This window comes from Homo sapiens, chromosome 11 (assembly GCF_000001405.40).
Source record: "Homo sapiens chromosome 11, GRCh38.p14 Primary Assembly".
In the NCBI taxonomy this organism is placed as follows: domain Eukaryota; kingdom Metazoa; phylum Chordata; class Mammalia; order Primates; family Hominidae; genus Homo; species Homo sapiens.
The window spans coordinates 123,193,220-123,219,822 of record NC_000011.10 but is presented as its reverse complement, the minus strand read 5'-3'; the positions used below and the strand labels follow the sequence as shown (position 1 = coordinate 123,219,822).

General features: G+C 45.7%; 1 protein-coding gene and 2 long non-coding RNA genes across 4 annotated transcripts in view, besides 2 other annotated features; 2 read left to right on the top strand and 1 right to left on the bottom strand.

Moving 5' to 3' along the window:
- Positions 277 to 777: an enhancer, noted in NCBI's record as "H3K27ac hESC enhancer chr11:123089754-123090254 (GRCh37/hg19 assembly coordinates)". NCBI's record gives its function as "activates a minimal SCP1, AML or CMV promoter by ChIP-STARR-seq in naive H9 embryonic stem cells {active_cell/tissue: H9 hESC(naive)}" and the evidence as "EXISTENCE:reporter gene assay evidence [ECO:0000049][PMID:30033119]".
- Positions 2,831 to 3,563: an enhancer, noted in NCBI's record as "OCT4-NANOG-H3K27ac hESC enhancer chr11:123086968-123087700 (GRCh37/hg19 assembly coordinates)". NCBI's record gives its function as "activates a minimal SCP1, AML or CMV promoter by ChIP-STARR-seq in naive H9 embryonic stem cells {active_cell/tissue: H9 hESC(naive)}" and the evidence as "EXISTENCE:reporter gene assay evidence [ECO:0000049][PMID:30033119]".
- LOC105369539 (uncharacterized) lies at positions 12,039 to 13,038 on the top strand. 2 transcript variants are annotated; one of them, XR_948115.3, is made up of 2 exons: positions 12,039 to 12,631; positions 12,815 to 13,038. It is a non-coding gene; the product is annotated as an uncharacterized LOC105369539 (long non-coding RNA). The 2 variants fall into 2 exon arrangements; XR_948114.3 differs by having other exon boundaries at positions 12,039 to 12,665.
- LOC105369540 (uncharacterized) lies at positions 12,104 to 15,785 on the bottom strand. The gene is made up of 2 exons (XR_948116.2): positions 15,262 to 15,785; positions 12,104 to 13,201 (listed from the first exon to the last, which is right to left on the bottom strand). It is a non-coding gene; the product is annotated as an uncharacterized LOC105369540 (long non-coding RNA).
- CLMP (CXADR like cell adhesion molecule) overlaps positions 24,575 to 26,603 on the top strand; it is a 125,377-nt gene continuing 123,348 nt past the window's right edge. The window contains exon 1 of the mRNA NM_024769.5: positions 24,575 to 24,910. Coding sequence (NP_079045.1) covers positions 24,883 to 24,910 — 28 coding nt within the window. The 5' untranslated portion in view covers positions 24,575 to 24,882. The remainder of the gene's footprint in view (positions 24,911 to 26,603) is intronic.

Below are 26,603 nucleotides of genomic sequence, written 5' to 3'. Positions count from 1 at the left end.
CATGAGCCACCTCGCCTGGCCTCTTCTAGGCTTTCTTTAAATTCTTGGTAAGATTTCCTCAAAGGTGGGAGCCCCAGTTAAGTTCACTCTTTCAAATAAAGGAGCTGAGGGCAAACCTCTGAGAGTTCCTCAAGGCCAGGGTGCCTGTCTTTTAAATATTTGTCTCCCCAGCACCCAGAGCCTTGTGGGCTCTCAGGGCACCCTGCAGAGCTGTGGTGAGTCAGGTTGTAAGGGTCAGGGTCCACACACCCAGTCGTCCTGGTGTTGGCTGGAGGACAGAGCCGGGCCTCAAGCACAGAGGATGGAGCAGCAGGCAGACAGAAGGAAATGGGTCACACCAGGCATGATTCAGGGAATAGTGTCTTTTGGGACCATGGCCCAAACCTGCTGAACTGACAGCTTCTCCAGCTGGCTTTCTTTCGTCTTACTTCATATTCTAAGGTTTCGGTCAAGAAGAGTATAAACAGAAAGACATAACATGGATGTCTCAGAGCACCGAGGCAAATAAACCCAGGAAAAATAAGCAGACCAGGAATCTCTGGTTAGCCGATCAGATTGCAATTATGCTGCTACTATAGTAGAGAGTGACCCAGACCCAGTTAGTTGGCAAGTTTTTCTTTGCAGCAATCAGCTGATGAAAACATACCCACCTCGTCATGCTCTCATCTGACACAGCACTGTGTCTCCAGAAACTGTTACCGGAAAGGGGTCCCGATCCAGACCCCAAGAGAGGGTTCTTGGATCTTGTGCAAGAAAGAATTCGGGGCAAGTCCACAGTGCAAAGCAAAAGCAAGTTTATTAAGAAAATAAAGGAATAAAACAGTGGCTACTCCATAAGCAGAGCAGCAGCTTAAGCTTAAGCTATAAGGATACTTATAGTTATTTCTTGATTATATGCTAAACAAGGAGTGGATTATTCACGAGTTTTCTGGGAAAGGGGTGAGCAATTCCTGAAGCTGAGGGTTCCTCCCCTTTTTAGACCACATAGGGTAACTTCCGGATGTTACCATGGCATCTATAAACTGTCATGGCGTTGGTGGGAGTGTCTTTTAGCATGCTAATGCATTATAATTAGCGTATAATGAGCAGTGAAGATGGCCAGAGGTCTCTCTCATGGCCATCTTGGTTTTGGGTCTTGGCTGGCTTTCATTACTGCAACCCACTTTATCATCAAGGTCTTTATGACCTGTATCTTGTGCTGACCTCCTATCTCATCCTGTGACTAAGAATGCCTAACCTCCTAGGAATGCAGCCCAGGAAGTCTCAGCCTCATTTTACCCAGCCGCTATCCACAATGAAGTTGCTCTGGTTCAAATGCCTGTAACAAAATCATAAAGAAGAACTAAAAACTCCATATCCAGGACCTAACACGATTCAAGCTGAAGAAAATCAGGTCACAGACTTAAGGGAGTTTATCTGAACTTTTGAACTTAGATTTTTTTTTAATTAGCAAGACTTTTAATAAAGAATAAGGATGAGAGAAAGTGATGGACAAAGGCTTTGAGACCCTGGCATATAATTTTACTCCCTGATGCTGCAATTTGAGCCCCAGATTCTCAGGCAACATTGGAAAAATATAGGAAGTCAAACTACTCTTGTGTTTTCTCATGCTAATACCCACCAAAGAAGCAGGCAGAATGGAGGCCCCAGAGCCCCAACGAGTAACCCCATCTCCCCTCCAGGGTGAGAAAAAAATCAGGCTCAAATTAAAGTGCTATCTTGCTGGCAAAAGAAGTGTGAAAAACTGCCGTGCCCTTTTCTAGCAATTCCAATGAGCTCATGTATTTTCATTCTGAGGTGTTAAACATTGCCAGAGAGAGAGAGAGAGAGAGCCTTCTAAGAGTATTTAGGTCAAATGCTAGGATTTCTTTTAACCCTTTAGAATTCCAGTCGAATTCCAATGATACTAAATTGAAAACCCAAAATGGATGTAACAAACTTTTTCTGGAACCTTTACAGAGTAATGACTAATATTGGAGGGTGAGGGTGGGGGGGGGGGTTGTTTGTTTTGTTTTTTGTTTTTGTTTTTGAGACGGTGTCTTCCTCTGTCGCCCAAGCTGGAGTGCAGTAGTGTGATCTTGGCTCACTGCAACCTCCACCTCCTGGGTTCAAGCGATTCTCCTGCCTTAGCTTCGTGAGTAGCTGGGATTACAGGCACCCACTACTACGCCTGGCTAATTTTTTGTATTTTTAGTAGAGACAGAATTACACCAAGTTGCCGGGCATGGTGGCTCACGCCTGTAATCCCAGCACTTTGGGAGGCCGAGGGGGGCGGATCACAAGGTCAGGAGTTCGAGACCATCCTGGCTAATACGGTGAAACCCCATCTCTACTAAAAATACAAAAAAAATTAGCCGGGCGTAGGTGGTGCACGCCTGTAGTCCCAGCTACTTGGGAGGCTAAGGCAGGAGAATGGCGTAAAACCCGGGAGGCAGAGCTTGCAGTGAACCGAGATCGCGCCACTGCACTCCAGCCTGGGAGACAGAGCGAGACTCTGTCTCAAAAAAAACAAACAAAAAAAAAGAATTTCACCAAGTCGGCCAGGCTGGTTTCAAACTCCTAACCTCAGGTGATCTTCCTGCCTCGGCCTCCCAAAATGTGTGTGTGGATTTGTTTTCGTTTTTCTTTTTGAGACAAAGTATCCCTGTGTCACCCAGGCTGGAGTGCAGTGGGGCAATCTCAGCTTACTGCAACCTCCGCCTTCCGGGTTCAAGGTATTCTCCAGCCTCAGTCTCCTGAGTAGCTACGATTACAGGCGTGTGCCACCACAATGGGCTAATTTTTGTATTTTTAGTAGAGACGTGGTTTCACCATGTTGGCCAGGCTGGTCTCAAGCTTCTGACCTCAAATGGTCCACCTGCCTCGGCCTCCCAAAGCGCTGGGGATTACAGGCGTGAGCCACCGCACCCGGCCTTAATATTGTTTTTTTAATGGGTCCATCTGATCTCAGACAGACAGCATGATCTCTATCTGACCCCATAAAAGGATCCCTGTTGTGAAACTTCCGTGGAGCTTCAATAATGTTGCACAGCGGCTCTTTCCCATACCCAATTCTTCTGTCCCCACGGTGTGCATAAATTCAGGCTGGATCTCTGGTTAGATGAGGATAACCTCCCTTACCTAGTCACTCCCAAAGTAATTTTTTTAGGTTTTTAAGTTAAAAAAAAAAAAAAAGTCATTCCTGAGACCACAGAGCAGATCTCAGCAAGCCATTCAGAAGCCCTAACACTGGCACTAAAAGCCAACTTTCAAAGAAATCCCTAAGAATGAGCGAAGAAATTGCTAATGATCTACTCTTTATCCTGGAACAATAGATGAAATCAGTGTTTCCTGTTTCTCCCTCAGCATTAACTGTCTTGAAACCTTAAGAAGCCCCAACCCCCGGCTGGGCGTGGTGGCTCACGCCTGTAATCCTAACACTTCGGGAGGCTGAGGTCGGTGGATTGCCTGAGCTCAGGAGTTCAAGACCGGCTTTGGCAACACGGTGAAACCCTGTCTCTACTAAAATACAAACACAAATTAGCTGGGCGTGGCGGTGTGCGCCTGTAGTCCCAGCTGCTCGGGAGGCTGGGGCAGGAGAATTGCTAGAACCCGGGAGGCGGAAGTTGCAGTGAGCCGAGATCGCGCCACTGCACTCCAGCCTGGGCGACAGAGCAAGACTCCGTCTCAAAAAAAAAAAAAAAAAAAAGAAAAAGAAAAAAAAAAAGAAACAGCAGCAGCCCCAACTCCCAAGACGGCAGATAAAGGGTCACTCAGTCAACAATTAGTTATGTTAGGAACTTGGTGTGGGACTTTGTGTGGGGTGTTAGAGTTAACAGGACAAGGAAACTCAATAAGCTGGCTCATACACAATTACACGCAGAATTCAGTAACTTTCATATATGAAAACAACAAAAAGATAAAAGGAAACATCTATTTTATACAAACAATACCTGGTAATAAACTTAAGAGTTATGCAAGATGATCAAAATATTAAAATGCTGCCACTAAACTAGATGGGAAACTTGATTAAATGGAAAGGCTTATCATGATTTCTGGTAGCCAAGTGTAGCATTATTAGGAAGCCAATTCTCCCCAACATATCCATAAATGCAATGCACTCTCAATGAAATATCAATTTGTTTTTTGTTTTGTTTTGTTTTAACTAGTCAAGCTGATTCTAGAGTTGACATGGAAAAAGAAACATTAAGTTTTGTCCTGGAAATGTTTTAAAAGAAATATAATAGGGGCGGGACGTGGTGGCTCACACCTGTAATCCCAACACTCTGGGAGGCCGAGGTGGGCAGATCACCTGAGGTCAGGAGTTCAAGACCAGCCTGGCCAACATGGCAAAACCCTATCTCTACTAAAAATACAAAAATTAGCCAGGTGTGTTGGTGTGCGCCTGTAATCCCAGCTACTTAGGAGGCTAACGCAGGAAAATTCCTTGAACTCAGGAGGCGGAGGTTGCAGTGAGCTGAGATCAGCGCCATTGTACTCCAGCCTGGGTGACACAGCGAGACTCCATCTCAAAAAGAAAAAAAAAAAAGGAAAAGAAATATAATAAGGAGAGCACTTGCCTTACCAGATACTAAATATATTCTAAAGTTACATTAACATAAATCATACAGTACTCATGCAATAAACAGACAGATCATGGCATGGGGAGAAAACTTAAAAAACAAACACAAGTACATATGGCAAATTAGTGAATAATCAAGCTGAGATCTCCAATCTGTGGAAAAAGATTATTTTATAGACAGCTTAGGGACAATATGGGAACCATTTGGGAAAAAATAAAGTTGAAATCATATTTTGTATCTAACACCAGAATAAACTCCAAATGAATCAAAGATTTATATGTGAAACATGGGACCATAAACTTACCAAAAGAAACCTGGGAGGGTTCTTTCTCATCATCCCAGTTGGGGAAAACCTTTCTAACTCTGACAGAAAACTAGAAGCCATAGAAAGAAATATTGACAAATTCGACAGCATCAAACAAAAGTCCACATAGTAAAACCACCATAAACAAAGTTTTTTATTTTTTAAAAAAGACAATCTAGGGGAAGATGATATTTACCACTTATATCACAGACTAGTGAGCGAATAGAAAAATTGGCAGTGGATATGAAAAGGCAGTTCCCAGAAAAAGAAATTATTCTCAAATATATTTTAAAAGCTTCATCTCATTATTAACTAAAGAAATGCAAGTAAAAACTATGAGATACCATCTCCCATCTCGAAGTTGAAAAATGTCAAAATACACTCTGTTGTGGTGTTGGCAAGGGCTCTGGAACATTCCCGGCAGAAGTGGAAATAAATTGATACAACCTTGCTGGAGAGTAATTTCTCAAAAACGTCAGAAATTATAAATGTATATGTTCTTTGACCAACCAATTTCATTTCTGGGCATTTATCTCATGTATATATGTATATATCTATATGTGTGTGTATATATATATGTATATATATACATATACACACATGCAAAACTATATATGTACACAGTTATTCAATGCATCATTGCTCATTATATCAAACAATAGTGAACAACTAAATATCTATTAATAAGATCCACTTTGAGGCATTTAGATCATACACACACATAAATAAAATAATGGTTAAATTATGGTAAACCTATCCAGTGGAATAGTATATAGCCATAAAACAATGAGGGAGGTTTTTTTCAGTTTTTTGTTCCTTATGCACTAAAATTCAATAACCTCCAGAATATATTGTTAAGTGAAAGGAGGAAGTTGCAGGACAATGATATGAATATTCGTTCTACTATTTGTAGAAAAAAACAAACAAAAAGAATATATACACATATTTGAAGGTATATGTAAAATTAAATGGTAGAAGTCATACATGTTGTCTTGGAGAAGAAAACTGGGTGCCTGGGATAGTGATGGGAGCGAAATTTTCACTATATACCCTTTGAACTTTTGAATTTGAACCATGCGGATGTATTATCCACTTTTTAAAAATCAGTAAATACAATTTTAAAAGAATTTACAGGATACCAAGAGTGAGAAGACAAGCAAAAATAATAGTTGTGCCTAAAATGCGTAAACATCAGTGCGCAAACAGACTCGGCGTGGGCTCCCGATCAGCAGATGGAAGAGAAAAGTGCGACTTCAGTAGCATAATATGATGGAAGGAGCTTGGAATGCAAAGCTTTCAAAGCATAATTTCCCGAAAAGACTTAAAAACATAATTCTCTTCCAGAATAAAATGAGCACTTGTCAAAGATGTCATTTAATTTATTAATCCATAAAGGGAATCAGTAAGATGGGAAAGCTGACGCCAAGAGCAATTGAGGAAGCAGGGTTTTTATAGCCCGTAGGGAAAGGCGCACCGCAGGAAGTTTTTTAAAGTCAGGGACAAATCTAGTTAATGTTCCACAGGGCAATAAAAGTATAGATTACACTTGCTAATGGACAGAAATCATTTGCTTCCCTACCGGATCCATATCTACAGGTTAACAGGCAACTTCACAGAGCTGAGCCCTTAATTGCAAATAACAAGGTCAGTTGGGATATTTATTATCCTGGAGACAGAATCAACTACACAATTTGCTGGACCCAGTGCAAAAAAAATTCAGAGGCCTTTGTTCAAAAATTTTGAAGAATTTAGGTCGGGCATGGTGGCTCATGCCTGTAATTCTAGCACTTTGGGAGGCTCTGGCAGAGAGATCACTTGAGGTCAGGAGTTCAAGACTAGCCTGGCAAACATTGGTGAAACCCCGTCTCTACTAAAAATACAAAAATTAGCCGGGTGTGGTAGCAGACGCCTGTAACCCCAGCTACTTGGGAGGCTGAGGCAGGAGAATCACTTGAATCTGGGAGGCCGAGGTTGCAGTGAGCCGAAATGGTGCTACTGAACTCCAGCCTGGAAGACAGGAGTGAAACTCTGTCTCAAAAAAAAAAAAAAAAAAAAAGAGAATTTCAAGACAGCAACAGCTGAGCATTAAACAAATGAGGGGCCCCCCTAAACTCAGGGTTCTGAGTTTAGGATAATGATGGCACAGGTTGCATGCCCAGGAAGCTGACTTTGCCTACAGAACTAAATAATCTTTAGAAGAGTTTTTAAACAGTGCCCCAGTGTGACACTGAGAGAACACGCAGTCACTCTCCCCCTTTATTTCCAAGTTTTGGATAATTTTTCTTTAGAGAGTCAAAAGAACCACTTCCTAGTTGTGTGGTTTTGGGCAAGTTACTTAACCTCTGCCATGCTCCATCACTTGGCTGGTAGATGAGAATTATAAATAATCCTTGCCCTGTATAATTCATGGGGTTTTAATGATTACTAAATAAGACAGGCATTTGACAGTTTTGTGCAATAAGTTTTATACAAACCTTTGCAAATGCTTTGTATCAGCATGTAGTTTTGGCATCCCAGCCTGGTATTCTTATAGATTCTCTTTGGAGAGTCAGTTCTCCTAGCTTAGTCGGAGAAATCTTCCTGGGAAAAAAATGACCTTCAATTTCATTGTAAAGAGAAGAAGAGACATGATGTGGTTGTCAGAAGGTGATAGCTTGTCTCAAACATAAGTGACTGTTTGGACAAAAGCTTGGAGAAAGGAAAGGGTGAGCCCATCCCAGGAGACCATGAAATAGCCAGCCTCACGGGCTGACAGGAAATAAGAGATGACCAGTCAGGTGGGCGGAGATCCCAGAACCCTAACAGCTCATCGATCCCCGGGAACATCGGGCAGCTCCCGTCACATTCTCCCCAAATACTCCTAAGGACGGGAGAAAGAAAATACCTCTTTAAATAGGCCACTAGAATTGGGACACGTCTTTAAATTCTTGTGTTTATCTTCATAAATTCATTAAAATTTTACATTCTATTTCATCATATACTCACAATTATTTTAATACTAAAAATAGCAATCCCCCCTGAAAAAAAAGTCTTTGGTAAAATTGAATCCCATCAAGGTGTTCCATAAATCTTCTGTAGTTCCCCTAATCCAAGAGGCTGAAGTAACCCAGTCTGAAAAGCACTGTGCTATTAGCACCTTTCTGTGGCGTTGCTTATGACACCTCGATGACAAAGGCACAAAAGAGTCCACGCTTGGCTGAGGCCCTCTTGGCACTTTAGGGACTGGGAATCCTTGGATGGGGATCAAAAGAAGACATGCCTTGAGCAGAGACTCCACTCCCCAGCCACGGTCATGCCCAGACTTCTCGACAGCCGTTTCCCTTTGCGTACACTCCCACCCAAGTGCCGTCGGCCTCACCTCTTCTTGACTGGCTTAAGGATATGTATGACTACTTGAGTTTTTCCAAATTTCCTTCACCCTCCTTCCTTTGCCCCTCTAGTTTTTCTGCTCCATAATTGGGCATGGAAGTGGAGCAGAATAAAGGGAGCAGAGCAAGGGGAAGGGGAGCTGCAGACTCAGAACAGAGGGATTTCCATGAGAAGGGGGGTTGGGGAACCAGAGCAGTCTCCATCCACAATCTGTGACTTGCAGACCACCCAGACTCCAAGCCTCCCAGCTCCTGCCTACTGCACTAAGCCTCTTGAACCGTGCACATATTTCTGCTCTCCAGAGCTTTACCCGCCCCCCAGAGTAGAATATTATTTGTTTATCATTAGGATCAGGCTGCTGGATGCAGAACACACTCTAGGAAGCACAGACTGCAGCCCTTTTATTTTTAACTGATCCAGGGATGAGCTTCTTTTGCATTGCCCTTTGTTAGAGTCTGCATATGTTGCACGGAGACTTGGTGACAATTTTAAGGGGCAAAATAAGTGACTGCTTCTTTGTGTTTAAAAGAGGAATTGGTCGGGCGCGGTGACTCACGCCTGTAATCCCAACACTTTGGGAGGCCGAGGCAGGCGGATCACGACGTCAGGAGATCGAGACCACAGTGAAACCCCGTCTCTACTAAAAATACAAAAAAAATTAGCCAGGCGTGGTGGCGGGCGCCTGTAGTCCCAGCTACTCAGGAGGCTGAGGCAGGAGAATGGCGTGAACCTGGGAGGCGGAGCTTGCAGTGAGCCGAGATCACGCCACTGCGCTCCAGCCTGGGCGACAGAATGAGACTCCGTCTCAAAGAAAAAAAAAATAAAAAAATAAAAAATAGAAAAAAAGACAGGAATTAAGCTGGGCATTGTAGCTCATGCCTGAAATCCCAAAATTTTCTATTGCTGAGGAGGGAGGATTACTTGAGTCCAGGAGTTTAAGGCCAATCTGGGCAACATAGAGAAATCCCCATCTTTAAATTTAAAAAAAATAATAATAAATACATAAAATTGGAATTAAAGGTAAACTGATGAGTCTTCCTTGATCCCTTCTTCCCATCCTCAGAGCTTATTTTTATTGCCAGCATAGGGGCTGCTGGACTGTAAAACAGGAGCTCAGAATGGCCAGTCTGATATTTTTTCCTCATTTGCTTCAGAACGATGGAGGTTGACGAGGGGGTTCCGGATAAAGATGGAGCAGATGAAACTGATCAGCCTGGTGTAGATAATTGTCAAAGTGAGGAGTTGAAACACAGAGGTTTCACTATTCTTTCTATTTCCTTTTAGGTTTAAAATTTTTCCATGAGAGATTGTTTTTAAATCCCTGCTCTCGTGGAATCCCTGCTCTCATGGAATCCCTGCTCTCACGTTCTCTCTGAAAACAGAGGCAGTGTGAGAGAATCGCGACACAGCGGGATGCATGGGGCTCATGTCCAACTTTCTTTTGCTCTGCTCTGTCCTTTGCCCATGACCAGAGCTTCACCATCACCTCTCTGCAGAAGGCTCCATGCCAGAGACTCTTGCCTTTACCTCTCTGCCCAACTCCTGCCAGACTGGGGCCCAGCCTCCCACATAGTTCTTTCTTCCCCAACTCCAAAAAAAGTAAAGGAAGAAAACCAGGAGCACTAGGTTCTTGCCTATAGTATCAGCCTTACAGTCAGTAGCCAGGACCAATTCTGAACAGACAAAAGCTCCTCTTCCCTGATAGACGAATGGCTAAGACCAGAAGGAGAAGAGAAACTTTAAAAACAGATGTCCAGGACCTACCGCAGATATGATGAAGCTGACTTGGGGTGGGGAGAAAGAGTCATTTTGAGACTCCCCTTGTGACTTCTGCATTGCCAGGTCTGGGAACCCCTGCAGCAGGCCAGTGCTGTCTCAGGTTGCTAAGGCAGCCAGTCTGACCTCGAAGAATATCTCCACTCTAAAAGTTTGGTTCAAACTGCTGTTCTGCCTCAGACACCCACTATGGCCAGGCTGGTCTCGAACTCCTGACCTCAAGTCATCCGCCTGCTTCAGCCTCCCAAAGTGCTGGGGTTACAGGTGTGAGCCACCGCACCCAGCTGAGATTGCCTTTTGAGAAGAGAATTGGATGGTTGGGGATGGAGAGGAGGGAGAGCTCTGTTTACTGTGCCTGGCCAGAACCATAATTCTTCTTGTCATCCTGGCTTAAAATCAAAGTCATGATTGACTTCTCTCTATCCTCCACCATCTCCTATGCCCCTCTCTAATAAATAAAAAAAAAAAATCTTTTCCTCTATTCAAAAATTTACATTTGTCATCTCTTTCTTCTAGGCACGTGGCCTCTTTACCTCTCACCTAGAATACTGAAAGCCTTACGGATAAACTTTCCATCTCCAGTTCCTCCCCAGCCTTTCTCCCCACCCTCCCCCAACCCTTCTCCCACTTCCAATCCCATTCCTTTCCTTTAGGTGTTTACAGGTAAATCCAATCAATCTTCCTTTGACTGTGTTGCTCCCCATGTCAAAAACCCTTAATAGCTTCTTTGTCTACTGGGCTTCCATCTGCTTATCACTTTTGAGCAGAAATTGTACCTATCATTCCATGCCCCAATTTCAATTTCACCTTCTCCGTGAAGACTTCCATGGTCACTCCTGACAGATGTGACCTCATGCTCCTGGACCCCAAGATGAGTGTACTTCTCTAATGACAGTTCTCCCACACTGTTCTTACTGAAGTTATTGATTATATTCATAGCTCCTTTACCAGACCATGTTAGGGTATGTTTCTTTATTCTTTTTTTTTTTTTTCGAGACACAGTCTCACTCTGTCACCGAGGCTGGAGTGCAGTGGCATGATCTTGACTCACTGCAACCTCTGTCTCCTGGGTTCAAGCAATTCTCGTGCCTCAGCCTCCCGAGTAGCTGAGATTACAGGCATGTACCACCACACCTGGCTAATTTTTGTATTTTTTGTAGAGAAGGAGTTTTTCCATGTTGGCCAGGTTGGTCTCAAACTCCTGGCCTTAAGTGATCCACTCACATGGCTCCCAAAATGCTAGGATTACAGGCGTGAGCCACCGCGCCTCAGTAGAAAGGCAGAAAGCAGAGAGAGAGAGAGAGAGAGATTGAGAAATTAGGGGAGGATAGGAAAGAGAAAGAAGGAAAGAAGAAAGAAAGGAAGAGAGGAAGGAAGGGAGGGAGGGAAAAGAGGGGAGGGAGAAAAAAACAAACTTATAAGCAACAAGCATGGACATTTTGAGGACTTCACAGGATACTCTACTCACCTGTGCACAAAAAGAACTAGAAAAATAGATACAGTTCCTGCACATCTGAGAACAGGGACATTCCAGTGGCTAGAGGACATATGAATGTCTGTGTGTGATTACTACTGAAATGTGGGTTGCTATCATTATTAGTAGTAATAATAACAAGAATAACCAGCATTTACTACTGTAATTTTCACAAGAACTCTTGGAAGCAACTGTTATCACCTCATTTTACAAGTGAAGAAGGAACCTGAGGACCAGAGAGTTCATACTGTACCCAAGTTCCCACAGGAAGAACACAGCCATCTGAGTCCACAGGGTTTCTTGTCTATTTCATACTGCTTCCGTCCCAGACAGCAGTGACACTGTGCACCTCAGTAGGAAGGCGGAAAGCAGACAGAGAGAGAGAGAGATTGAGAAATTAGGGGAGGGTAGGAAAGAGAAAGAAGGAAAGAAGAAAGAAAGGAAACGAGGAAGGAAGGGAGGGAGGGAGGGAAAAGAGGGGAGGGAGGAAAAAAACAAACTTATAAGCAACAAGCATGGACACTTTGAGGACTTCATGGGCCTTTGAGCCTCCACACATCATATTAAGCATATTAAAATACACCCAATCCCTTTTTTTTAACTATAAAAATACTGCAGTATTTTTTATAATTTTACTTTTGAAATTTGGCCCAACAATGATTTCTCGGCAATCACTGTGCATAATCAGGAATTCTTGCAATGAGAAAAAAACTCGCCTGTAAATTGTTGTCAAATGTGTAAAAATCTTGTAACAATCAATGTAACGATTAATGAACATGACATCACATGTCTTTGTAGACCTACTTCTTAGCAAGTGAGGTGCCTATTCATTTCAGTTTAGGTCTTTCACATTTTTAGATCTTGAACTCAATCCCTAGAGATAAACAGCCCTGGTTGCCAGGGTTTGAATAGGTCAGAAGAGCACAATGATGACTTCACAGGGATGCTTGAGGTTACCATGGAAATGCTGTCGGCTCCCCCTCCCCAAGTCATCTTCACACATCTTCATGTGGGCGGCAGGCATTTGCTTCCACTGTGGAGTTGACTCCATCTCCCAATAGGCCTCTTCTGGAAATTCCCTCCCCATGTTAGATCTGGCAGAGCCACTGGGAGACAGAGCAGCAGAGGGGAGCTGAGTGACACTAGGTGAGAAGCTGTGCGGCCAGATGACTTGAGCCTGGTGAGCTCCCTGCCTCACCCATCCCTGGGCCCAGAGGGAGAGACACAGAGTGGTTACCGGTGAACACTGTTTACTGGGCCAACCTGAGCGCATTCCGAGCCCAGGCTGCAGTCAAAGACGACACTAAACAGTCTTCCTTTGCTTTTCAGGTTGCTATGACAGCCAGGAATTTGCGAACCAAACCAGACCTGGAGAAGAAGTCTCTCCTTGGCCCAAAGAGTTTGCAGTTCCAAGTGGTTCTGCTCATGGTTCCTGTTGTCTTCTTTGACACCTGCCAGATGGAAGAACCTCTAAACCTGGGATTTGGAAATGTCCCAACAGAAAGGCTATTTCCAAGCTGGCTGAAGCTTGGAAATAAATTCGACGGAATTTAGGTGTGATAGAAGGAACTTCTTGGCAAGAAAAGCTGGAAAATATTACAATAGGTCCCAGAGAGAACCTCATTATCTTCTCGAAAAAATTTCTATATTTGTTTAGTGTTCTGTGGTTTGCTAAGCACATTCACATAAATTATCTAATTGGATCTTCACATCCGCCTGGTGAAGGAGTAAAAATAGGTTTCATAATATTTGACCAAAGACAAGGAAAATGAAGTTCAATAAGAACAAGATCAAACAGCCAACAGGCAACAGAACTGAGATTTGAAACTGGGTTTTCTGACTGTAAATCTAGCTCTTTTAATTCTATTATGATAATCCCCCAAAATATAAAAGAGATCACATCTGAGCTGGACAGTTTAGAAACAGTTTTTTTTCTAAAATAAAGTGATGTTGTAGATAATTTTTTGTGGTAAAATACACATGATGTAAAATTTACCACTTTAATCATTTCTTTAATAATTTTTTTCGAGATGGAGTCACACTCTGTCGCCCAGGCTGGAGTGCAGTGACGCAATCTCAGCTCACTGCAACATCTGCCTCCCAGGTTCAAGCAATTCTCTGCCTCAGCCTCCCCAGTAGCTGGAAATCCAGGCACACACTACATCCTGCTAATTTCTGTGTTTTTAGTAAGACGGGTTTCACCATGTTGGCCAGGCTGGTCTCCAACTCCTGACCTCATAATCTGCCCGCCTCGACCTCCCAAAGCGCTGGGATTACAGGTGTGAGCCACCTTCCCCAGCCACAGTTTAATCATTTTTAAATGTATAGTTGACAGGCATGAAGTACATTCATTACTGTGCAACTGTCACCGCCATCTCTCTAGAACTTCTTCATCTTCTCAAACTGAAATGCTGTACTCTTTCAATAATAACTCCCCAAGCCCCTCCACTCAGCCCCTGGAAACCATCATTCTACTCTATGAATTTGACTACTCTGGGTAACTCATATAAGTGGAATTATACAGTATTTGTCCTTTTGTGACTGGGTAATGTCACTTAGTATAACGTCTTCAAAGTTCAGCCATGCTGTAGCATATATCAGAATTTTCTTCCTTTTTAAGGCTGAGAATATCCAATTGTAAAGACATACCACATGTTGGCTATTCATTTATCAGTATACGGTCACTTGGATTGCCTCCACCTTTTGGCTATTGCGAATAGTGCTGCAATATACACGGATGTACACATGTTTCTTTGGGACCCTGATTTCAATTCTTTTGGGTATATACCAAAATATAGAATTGTTGACTCATACAGTAATTCTATTTTTAATATTTTAAGGAATGCAGGCCGGGCACGGTGGCTCACGCCTGTAATCCCAGCACTTTGGGAGGCCAAGGCAGGCGGATCACCTGAGGTCGGGAGTTCGAGACCAGCCTGACCAACATGGAGAAACCCCCGTCTGTACTAAAAATACAAAATTAGCCGGGCGTGGTGGCATATGCCTATAATCCCAGCTACTAGGGAGGCTGAGGCACGAGAATCGCTGGAACCTGGGAGGCAGAGGTTGCGGTGAGCTGAGATCGTGCCATTGCACTCCAGCCTGGGCAACAAGAGTGAAACTCCATCTCAAAAAAAAAATATTTTAAGGAATCCCTGTACTACTGTTTTTCACAGTGCCTACACATTCTACATTTCCACCAAAGGTACACAAAGGTCCTAGATTTTCCACAGCCTTGCTAACATTTGTTACTCTCTCTCTCTCTCTATATATAGATATATATATATACAATCCTGGTGGGTATATAAATGAATGTTTTTTAAACATGAGGTTATCCAAGTTGGTTCATTCAGATCAGTTAGAAAATAGTCCTAGTGGGCCGGGCATGGTGGCTCACACCTGTAATCCCAGTATTTTGGGAGGCCAAGGCCGGTGGATTACTGAAGTCAGGAGTTCAAGACCAGCCTAACCAATATGGTAAACCCCGTCTTTACTAAAAATAAAAAAAAAATTATCCAGGTGTGGTGGCGTGCACCTGTAGTACCAGCTACTTTGGAGGCTGAGACAGGAGAATTGCTTGAACCCAGGAGGCGGAGGTTGCAGTGTGCCAAAATCGTGCCACTGCACTCCAGCCTGGGTGACAGAGTGAGACTCTGTCTCGAAAAAAAAAAAAAAAGAAAAGAAAAAAAATAAAGAAAGAAAAAGAAACTAGTCCTAGTGAAACCAGGTTAGCTTCTACTCTACATGCCAGCCCCAACCCCAGCCACAAATCTCACCGAAGCATTCCACTGGTCTTCCAGGGAAAGCACTCAGATAACTTAAGCATATCCATGACTTGCTTTTAGGGATAATGAACTCAAAGTACATGTCCTATTCATAGGAATTTCATGTCTTCAATATGAGCAAGAATTCATCATACAGATTCATGTTACATAAAGGCGTCTCCCACCACATCTGGAGGGTAGGTGTGCAAGTCTACGTGGGTGAAGATGAGGGAGTGTTCCAAGAAGGATTACATGGCTGAGAGGATCGGCAGGTTCTCTTCTCAAACAATTCTGGAACTTTGAGAAGTTCCTTTGTGTCTATGAGGTGGCTTCTTTATCCATCTCTGCTCACTTCAGAGGCATGAGCTAGACTGTATCTTTAAAGGGCTTCAGAAGATGGTGCTCTGTCATTAAGAGGCGGGATGATATCTGATCATCACCAGAGCTATTACATCACCTGGCAAGAATCATCAGATTCCCCATAATGTGGTTTGGAAGAGTGAAGGAGCTCAGGGCATCTGAGATTGGGACTGGGAATCATGTCCGAATCTCTCAGCCTTGGGTATTCAAGTCGTATCAACCTCGAATGCCCCCTCCTCCATGAAGCAGTCCCTGATCGCTACATAGGAAGAAATAGTCACCCTTGAAATTCAATAGCTCTTCACCTGTGCCTTTATCAGGGCAATGGCTGTGTTTTGTCTTAGATTTATGGTTATTTAAGAGTGCATTATATATCCTAAGAAAATTATCCTTTACGGACTAAACCCAGTTCTGGTTTGCACAAAGTATAAAGCAAATATTTCCCCAAAGCTCCCTAGCTGACTTCTCCTATCCATTGATAAGACTCGTTGGCTAGAATCCTGTCACATGTCCTTCCCTGGGAGCAAAGGAGGCCTGGAAAGCAGATGTTTGACCTTTTAGCTTCTATGGTGGAGGTAGGCAAGAGAGGGTATTAGGAACAGGGCTGAGTGAGCCAGTGAACAGTGTCTTTCGGATCTGTCTTTGTGCTGGGCTCATCCTCCAGGAAGTCAGGGGAGAGGCCCCACCACGAGTCTTGGGCCCAGCTCCTGTTCCCTCTGTGTCTGCTGTGTCTGTCATGGGGCTCCACACCAGTTTGAAATGGATTGATTCTCTACAACACGGGGTACAGAGAAGCATGTCCGACTCAAGTCAGGTCCTGCCAGTTCCTGCAATCTACACTCCTTTATCATGCTTACCTCACATTCATAAAGAACCTTAGTTGACAAAGCACTAGCTTACCTATTTTCTCCAGATACATAACTGAGACACAGAGAGGTTCATCATTTATTCAAGCTGACTCAGTAGGTGACAGTAAGGGAGAGGTTCCATCCTGGTCTCCTGATGTCGAACCTCATGCTCTATCCAGCATCCTCCACTGCCTCTTGGACACTGGTTTCAGGCCATGGCTGGCATATCCCCCACTCCACTTCCTGGGACAGTGTCATCCGGAAAGGTGCACATCAATGCAAGAGGCTGCAAGACTGTTCTGAGTGTATGTCACGCATCTGTGTGTGTGCCTGTGGTAGGTGGGAAGACGGGGGATGCTTCTCCTCCCCTCCCATCTCCTCAGCCTGGCCATGGCTGCCATCAGTCTTTTCACTGAGCAGCTGCAAGCAGCTGCTGACAGCTCCCAGCATCTCAGCCACAAAATAAATGAGTTCCCCGCAGGCAGGACACCAGTGGCATAATGAGGCCTCGCATAGATTCTTCTTAGTTTTATTTTATGGCTTTTACTGAGTCTCATCCAATACTAAAACAACAACAACAACAATAAAAACCAGCTCTTCCCTGGGCCCTGTCCCACCTGTTTCTGCCAGCGGACACCATGAGTTTTTTTATTCTCATTCCTGACCTTTTAGGAAGAGGCAGGGTCACTCTGTGTGGTAATCTTCCACACTCTAGAAGGAGAATGGAGCTGGTCGCTAGGCAACCTGGTTTCCAGCTTGACTCTGTCTCTAACTTGAGTTTGACCCAGAGATAGCACATCTCCTGGCTGGGATTCAGTCTACAAAGTGAGGAAGTTACACCAAAAGGAACTCTAAGGTCCTGCCCAGCTTGATAGTGGACACAGCAGCTGCACAGAGGTGGAACAAATGCAGGCTTACAGGCTGGAGACACATTTTTGAGGCTGAATGAATGAAAAGTACATGAGTGCTTATGCTAGCCGAGGACAGCTAGCTGCCCTTGTCCAGCTGGGAGGAAGATAGGAAGATTCCTGTCTGTGGTTTGGTGGTCTGTGTTTTCTACCACGTGCTTACATGTCAACAAAGGGAAACATGCTGCTGGGTTTTCAGAAAAATCACAAGGTGTCTGGCTAGAGAATGAAGCCAGGCATACATCTGGTCACCAGCCTGATGGCTTCTTCCTTCGGGGAGAGGTTGCTCAGGATCACAGCAGGTCAGCACAAGACAGTGGCAAGAGCGCTGAACGAAGAGTCAGGCTGGGGTTCTTATACCTTTTGTGCTACCAACTAGCTAGGTGGCCCTAGACACGTTGCCATTCCTCTCTGCACTTGTGTCCTTTTCTGTAAAATATGGAGGTTAGATCGGATGTCTCTGATATCCCCTTCAATCTAACAATCTGAAATGTATTTCCTGTTCTTATTCCTGTCTCATTTGGCTCCCTTATGAAGACAGCTTGTCTAGTGGGTAATTCTGAGCATCATTAGCCAAACAAAAGCCTGCTTTTGATCTCAACCCAGAGTTGGGGACTGATGTGAAGGAGGAGAGAGCATGAAAACACTTTTTACTACTCCTTTTGCTGTGTGTTTCTAAGGAAGTCACTAGACCTCAATTCCCCACCTAAAGGAAGGAGATGCTATCGTCCCCTTTCTCTGAGAGGGGAAAGGACCCCTGAAGATCCAGTTACAATGTATCCTGGAGTCACGGCATATTTTGTTGCATTAATTAAGGGGGAAGAGAGAAGGGCATCACTTGCTGAGCAGCAATGTGCCTGCCCCCCTATACTAGGTGCTTTCCTTCTTTCCTTTTTTTTTTTTTTTTGAGATGGAGTCTCGCTCTGTCGCCCAGGCTGGAGTGCAGTGGTGCGATCTCGGCTCACTGCAACCTCCGCCTCCCGGGTTCAAGCGAGTCTCCTGCCTCGGCCTCCTGAGTAGCTGAGATTACAGGCGCATGCCCACACGCTTGGCTAATTTTTTGTATTTCTAGTAGAGATGGGGTTTCACCGTGTTCGCCAGGATGGTCTCAATCTCCTGACCTTGTGATCCACCCGTCTTGGCCTCCTAAAGTGCTGAGATTACTAGGTGTTTTCTTTATATAGTCTCCTGTTATCTTCTCAACGACCATATGAGAAATCTTACAGATGAAATAACGTAGGCTGAGGTTAAGAAATACACCCAAGTTAGGCACAGTCAGGAGAGTGGCCAGAATTCAAAATCAGCCTGTCTTCCTCCAGAACCACCTCTGCCGGTGTAACTTTAGCAGGAATTAAAAGTAGCATGTGGGAGAACCTGGAAAAGCCCAGACCTAGCTGATGCCAGGCATGAAGCTGGTACACACAGCAGCGTCCTACTGTAAAGCCTTAGGCTCGGCAGCAGCTACAGACACCTTCTCTGCTTTTTGTCTTGACTCTTTACTCTCCCACTGGCCTCCTGGAAGGCCTGCTGGGCTGGAGGGATGGGTCTTTGCATCCTGAGTGCTGGTGGGAAGATAGAGGCTGAGATCTTTTCTTCACCATCAAATGTCCTACAGGAAACATCAACCCCACAAAGTCCCTGCCGCCTCCGCTGACCACATAGATCAGTGCTTGGGACTGTCACTGTACAACGTGTGCCTTACCCTCTATTAGCACACAGGGTTCTCAGCCACAGTCTTAAAAAAAGTTGTCCAGTCAAGACCCTGAAAGCCAGCTGGGGCCTCTTACTGTCCAGCCATAGGAGAAATAACACACTGAATAGCCAAGCCAAGAAGCGTCCTTGCAGGACAGGAAAGAATATATAAAGATAACCTTGTTTTAATAGAAAAAAGGAAATGAGACAGAAATTGGCTCTTTTACTGCAGGGAATGGAATCCTATGAACTCAACTTTAGTTTTAGTTGGAACAAATATTTACTGAGCCTCCTATGTGCGAGACACTGCAGCAGGCGCCTCCATCATATTATAATTCCATTTCTTCCTCCCACCAGTATTGGGCTCAGAAGAAAGAAAGGCTCAGTGAAGTCAAGGGACCTATTCAGAACTACTGGAAACCCAGACTTTCTGCCTTTTCACCCGGAACTCTTTCCATCATTCCACAGCTGCCTTCTCCTAAGTGTCCTCATGAGCTTGTATCATCATCTGTAAGGATGGGTCTGGACCTCAAAAGGTGGATTCTGGACCTCAAAAAGATTAAAAGACATGGACCACAGCCAGGCTCAGTGGCTCATGCCTGTAATCCTAGCACTTTGGGAGACCGAGACAGGCGGATTGCCTGAGCTCAGGAGTTCAAGACCAGCCTGGGCAACATGGTGAAACCCCGTCTCTACTAAAATACAAAAAAATCAGCCGGGCATGGTGGCAGGCACCTGTAATCCCAGCTACTCAAGCAGCTGAGGCACAAGAATTGCTTGAACCCAGCAAGCAGAGGTTGCAGTGAGCCGAGATTGTGCCACTGCACTCCAGCCTAGGCAACAAAGCAAAACTCTGTCTCAAAAAAAAAAAAAAAAAGATACGGTCCATGGTTCCCAGGTATGAGATGAGAGAAGAGCACAGGTCTCCATCTCCCCCTCAGTTCACAGCACTTTTCTCCCAGGATGTCTTTTTGGCATCTCCTACGCTAGGTGTAAGGTCCTGCTGTGATCTCCATAGCACTCTGCTCTTCTCTGAGCAGAGCATATCTCACTCCATGTTGTAATTGCTTATTGGTTGTTCATTTCCCTTAACTCACCAGAAGCTTCTGCAGGACAAGGACAACTTTTCCTTTGTTCACCATTGATTTTCCAGTGTTTGGCATATAGTAGGTGTTTAACAAAGATTTGCTGTATTATTGATTGAAAGAAAGAATAGAAAGATGGATGGAGGGATGGATGGATGGATGATGATTTATCAGCTCTTCAGTTACTATGTCTCCACGTAATTGGGTAACTTATCCTTCCATTCCTGACAAGTTAACTTACCCAACTTCCCTAGTTTGTCAGCAGTACTATTCAAAAGACAGTGAGGTGTAAAAGCTTTGAATCTCCTGACTTTATATCCTGCTTCAATCATTTACTAACCATGGGATGATATGCAATTTATTTAATCTTGCTAAACCTTAACCTTAGTTTCTTCATTGTGGTATGATATTGTGATACCTGTTAATCATGCTTATAATCTCTGGAATATACCAGGAGGTAGATAAATGGTCGGTATCAATCTTGGCATATGTAACAATGTATTCAGTCATTTATACTCAGATTCGGTGCCTCTTTTCTCTTCCACTCTTTTCACCCACATTGATTGTTATGTACTTAACCCTGTCAAATCTTTCTTCCCAATGTCTTCTACACTGTTTCACTACCCTCATCTTATCTGCCTATTTAATACAATAGGTCCTAAACAGTCCCTGTCCTTCAGGTTTCTTCTCCAGTGCGTCATACACTCCCGTTGATAGCTCTAGAATTCCTGTAAAGGAGAGGTTTAGGGTGGTACTCTTTGGCTCCCCAGAAATTGGGAAGGACAAGGGAAGTGTCTTGAATCTGCATATGTATATCACTCTACAAAATATTGAGACAAAGGTAGCTTGACAGATATGAAAGGGTCGCAAAAGTTCTCCACCCTGGCCAACTGTTGTAGTCACCTCTGGGCAGAAGCTGCCAATTTCCACTTCCTAAAATAAGGCTCTCATCAAGGTGATTTTTCTTAAATTTGTTTCAAAGAGCCTGGAAGAACACTGCAGAACGAGTTCTAGAATCCTTTTCCTCACATTTGGAACTTGTCACAGTTTTGCCCCCCAGGGCATTTTGCTTCAACAACAATTTTTATTTCAAGCATTTCATTTCATTCAAGGCCCCTCAATATGCCAAAGCTATTCCTAACTCCATGTCTTTGTCCAGGAATGCCCCCACTCATGGCTCTCCCCAGCTCATCTCTTCTAATGACATTCTGTTCATCCCCCAAGGGCTGGTTCCATCATTGCTCTCCTCCGCAATTACCCCAGCCTAAGGTGCTCTTTCCTTTCTTGGAATTCCCACTGTTTTTTATTGTCAGGATAATTTACTGTGGCATTTAACTATCTAACTTTCTTGTATTGTTGTTGAAACATTTCCCATGTTGGTGTTTTTTCTCCCTCTGAACTGAGAGGTCCGTCCATTCAGGGTAAGGACTATCTCGTAATCTTGGGATCCTCCGAGGCACCCAGCCCAGAGTGGGGCCCAGCACTGGTAGGGATGGGATGTGAGTTACAAACCATCGCAGAAGCACTCTCTCTCTGCTCTTCCTGCCCAGAGACCCATGCCAATAGAAAAGAGGTTTCAGATTTAGAGACAGACACCTTCAGGGACCCAAAGATCCTCTTCCAAAAAATATGTGCCATATTGGCTACAAGACTTGGGGCTGGGAAAATTGAGTGCTTGTGACCCAATCTCAGTCTAATCATTTCCTGTGCTGGTGACTAATGACCTAGAGCCAAAGGCGCCTGTTACCTTCGGCTTGAGCAACTGGGTTTAAACACATATCTGCCTACACCCACACACATCTGTCTTCATGCGCACACCAGCCCTCAAGCAATAAACAGCACTGGCATTACTAAGTTCTTGAGAAAGGCCACCAGCAGCGGTGGGGTGGAGGTGAGGCTTTAAAACTTGTGCAAAAACCCCACCTCTAGAGAGAAATAAAAAGGGGGAATCTGGGTGAAGAATTTTTGTACTATTTTCAACTTTTTTGTAAGCCCAAAATGTCAATTTTTTTTTTAATTATAAAGCAGAAACAACAAAAGAGTTACCTTCTGTATGTAGTTTTTCTGCCACCTTCTCCAGCCTTTAAGAATTACTGTTTTTGGCTGGGGATGGTGGCTCATGCCCGTAATCCCAGCATTTTGGGAGTTCGAGTCAGGTGAACTGCTTGAGCCCAGGAGTTTGAGACCAGCCTGGGCAATACAGCGAAACCCAATCTCTACCAAAAATACAAATATTAGCCGGGCATGATGGTGTGAGCCTGTAGTCTCAGCTACTTGGAAGGATGAGGTGGGAGGATCACTTGCACCCAGGAGGCAGAGGTTGCAGTGAACCTGGGTGACAGAGTGAGGCTCTGTCTCAAAAAAAAAAAAAGAAAAGAAAAAAGACGGTTTTTTCAACATATTCATTTACAAATTATAGTTGTGAATGTATCTATTTCCCCTATTAGACAATTAGTATGAAATGGAAAATAAAGTTACTTCGGAGTCAAAGAGACCTTTTAAACACTTCTCAATATAAAAAATAATATTTTTAAATATTAGAATATTAATATTGGAATAGAAGCATTTTAATTCTATTGTGATCTGGGGCAAGATATTTAGGCCTCTCTAAGTTATAGTTTCCTTGTCTTCCTATTCATGCTAAGGGATGGTGATTTTTTTTTCAGTGACTATCCCTTAGCAGTATAATAAGAATGATATAAAAAGGTCAATAATATGACCCAATAAAAACCACGTAATAATATAATATGATTCTGGGTCCATACTTGGTGTTCATGACATACTCCTCCCAGGTTTTTTTAAATGTCAACTTCCAAGTTCTACTCACTTTGTGTCCTCACACCTAAAAAAGCACCTGGCATAGTGTGGATGCTAACACATCGGTATCGAAGGGGTGAGGGAGTGAGTGGAGAAATGCTGCAATTCTAAAGCAATGCTCCAGCTGATCCGCGAGCCCTAGGAACAGCCCCAGCTTTTGCAAGTCCTCTGAGTGACCTTGTGAAACTTCCATAACCTCTCCAGGCCTTTGCTTTCCTAGTCTGCGAAATGGGACGGGTTTTCATTACACATTTGCATTTCATTGCAAATGTGTGACTCGGCAGCCCACCGGCCCCGGCGGGGTTCATCTTTCTTCTCAAGAGCGCTGGCCCCGGCTTCCAACCTGGGCTCTGGCGAGGCCGAAGGTGAGCGATTGCGTCATCATGCCTCTGGGCAGCTGAGGGAGAAGCCCTCCAGGGACATTCAGAGACTGGGACCAGAGTTTCTGAGAGGCCCTGGGCACAAGGTCAGGGCAGGAGGTCCAGGCAGCTGAGGTCTGAGCGCCACCCTCACTGCCCTTTCTTAGTCTCGCTGCCTCCCGCTGCCGCTGAGCAGCAGGGTAGTGAAGGGCAGACTCCCAGGGGCCGACCCTGGGGCGGGGCTGCTCGGCTCCGCGGAACCCACCGTCCGCCCCCGTCCGGCCGCCAGCCTCCTGCCCTCCGCGAGCCTCCTGGGCCGGGTTCCCGGAGCCCGGGCGCGCAGGCCCTGGCACCAGGGGGATTCTGCTCCCTCTGCCTTATGTTCTTTCTGAAAGGGGGTGGTGCACATTTTGGCCAGGGCCACGTGCAGAGCACTTTGCTGCAAAGCATCTCGATAGACCTCTTTCCACGGGGCTGTGGGTCCCCTTCCCCTGGGTGCTGGCTGGCTTAGCTCTGCTCGGGACCTGAGGGAGCGCTGCTGCAAATACCGACAGTAGAAAGCGAGCGAACGCGAAAGGCCCCAGGAAAGCCAGGCCAAGGGGGGTAGCCGGGTGCCAAAGCAGGCAGTCGGTGGGGAGAGCCCTGGTCGGCCGGCCGCTGGCTGCCTTCGCACCCACTTCCGCGCCCCGCCGTCGGCCTGGTCAGTCTGGTGGCTTTACACTAACAGAACCAGACGGGGAGGGAGAGGAGAGGCGAGAAGAGCGCAGAGGACAGAGGGGAGAGGGCATGAGGAGACGAGGAGGGAGAGGCAAGAATGCGAACAAGGAGACCTAGAGAGGAAGAGATGGAAGAGAGAAACGCCAGATTTGTGAGAGACGTGGAAGCAGAGAGAAACGAGAGTAAAAAAGAAGCGAGAGAGAAGTGGAGAGAAGGACCAAGTGAGAGCAGAGCTCTAGGAACGGACAAGGCCTCGTCCATGGGCTCTCAGCCGAGGTGTCACCAATGCCTCCTGCAAAGAATCAATCCTACGCCCGGCGCCTCTCAACCCACCCGCCTCTGCACGGCCCCAGGTCTCCCCCGGCCCTCCCTGCCCGGCCAGCTCACGCTTCTCCCCGACCGGCCCCCACCGCAAACCCCAAACGCCGCGCGGGAGGGAGGGAGGGAAGGAGGGAACAGCGAGAGAGAGAGGGAGGGGCTGCGGTAGGAGGCAACCATGTGGTTCCAGCTGAATTTTTTTTTTCCCTCTCTCTTTCTTCACTCCTTTTTCTTTCCAAACAGGGAAAAGTGTTCCACGAAGCGGTAGCGCCTTTTCGCCTCGCGTTTTCCTCCCTGACCCTGGTCCCGGCTCCCGTCCGGGCGCCAGCTGGTGGGGCGAGCGCCGGGAGCCCATCTGCCCCCAGGGGCACGGGGCGCGGGGCCGGCTCCCGCCCGGCACATGGCTGCAGCCACCTCGCGCGCACCCCGAGGCGCCGCGCCCAGCTCGCCCGAGGTCCGTCGGAGGCGCCCGGCCGCCCCGGAGCCAAGCAGCAGCTGAGCGGGGAAGCGCCCGCGTCCGGGGATCGGGATGTCCCTCCTCCTTCTCCTCTTGCTAGGTGAGTGCCTCTGGGAGGGCGGGAGTTTGGATGGCCGTGGGCAAACGCAGCCCTGCGTCCGGGAAAGACGCCGGTTCTGACCGGGTGTCCCTGCAGCCCCTGGAGTCAGCCGGCTTTTCAGTCCCTGCCTCCTGGCCACGGAGGAGCACATCTGGCAACCGAGGGCCGCCCAGTCGGCCATCGAGATTGTCTCGCACATCTGGGCCCTTGAACAGGCTTGGGGAACCGTTTGATGTGCAGGGTCCTCTTTAGGGCGGTGTTTAGTTTCTGGTGTATCTGGGAAAAGTGGAGAATTGGTGGAGGGAAGGTTTATCCAGGAATTTTTGTGCCAGGTTCCTGAGGGTGGGGGTTTTTTGTTGTTGTTTCAAACAGGCGCCTCCGAGGCTCAGATTAGAAACAGATGTGTTAAAGGGTGAGCAGAGTGGGGGATAGGCAGGGTTGGAGAGGAAAGGGGAGAGGGAAAAAGGGCAGGGCCCAAGGAGCACCAGGAAGATGCAAATGCCCCAAGTCACACAGGGAAGGAAGGAAAAGGGGAAAGGGGAAGGGTTGGGAAGGAGAGAGAAAAAGAGGAGAACAGGAATGTAAAACAGAAGAGCAAGGCTGGGGGAGTCCGAGCACAGAGAGTGAAGAAGACTTGGAAAAAACGCAGCAGAGGAACCAGAACAGAGGGAAATAGAGCAAGCACCACTTTTTCCTGAAACAGGCTCCAGAGCAAAGGGAAGAGTCCTCCTGAGCGTCCCTTCCTGGGGTCCCCCAGGCAGGACTCTTGGGGCCTCAGAGGCCCTGAGGCAGAGGCAGGTTTGCAGGAGAGGACATCAGGGATGTGGGTGGTAGGAGCCCACCGGAGTGACTGGAAATGTCTGAGGAGCCAGGGCAGGAAAGGCAGTCAGGGAGAGCCAAGGGCACGTCACTATGCACCCTGAAGCATGGGATCCACTGCAGACAGGCCCCACAGTTAGCTGGAGATCAGAAAATCAAAGAGCCAGCCAGTGGTCAAGAGTGAGCACTACCCTGAACACCAGGCCACGGGAGAGCTGGTCCTGGTTTTGAACTGACTAGCTGGGTGGCCTCAGACAACTTACTCCTTATCCAGGGCTTCCACGTCTTTAGCTCTGGAAAGAGAATACTAGATGGTTCCTAAGTCCCTTCTAGCCTACAACACCAGAGGTTTGAAGGAGGCTGGTGTCTAGAAGAACCACCAAATCCTGAAATACGTGGTTAGAGTTCTCTGTCTTTTTTGAAACTTTACAAACCAATTATACTGTATGCATACCCATCTTGGCCAGCCTCAGGCTGATAATCACTTAAGTTAGAGAAATGAAAGAGGTGGGCTAAGCCAAACTATTGCTCAAGTAAGGCAGGTGGGGAGGGGTTATTTTCTAAACTCTTTTAGACTTAACCAAATACTGCAATACTGTTCCTGTGCACATCTGGCGCAGCTGGATGGCACCTTGATTCCCTTTACTGGACTCTACCACTAGGTTACCAATCACCAGATATTTAGTAGAATGAAACTTCAGGGCTCTCTTATTAAAAACAGCTAATAGTCCTTGTTATATGAACACTTTATATGTACTATCTTGGTAATTCGTTTGTTCTTCACAACAAGCCTATTGGCTGCCCAGCCATCCTTGTTGGCTACCCTCATTTTACAGATGAAGAAACCAAGCTGTAAAAAGGCCAGGTAACTTGC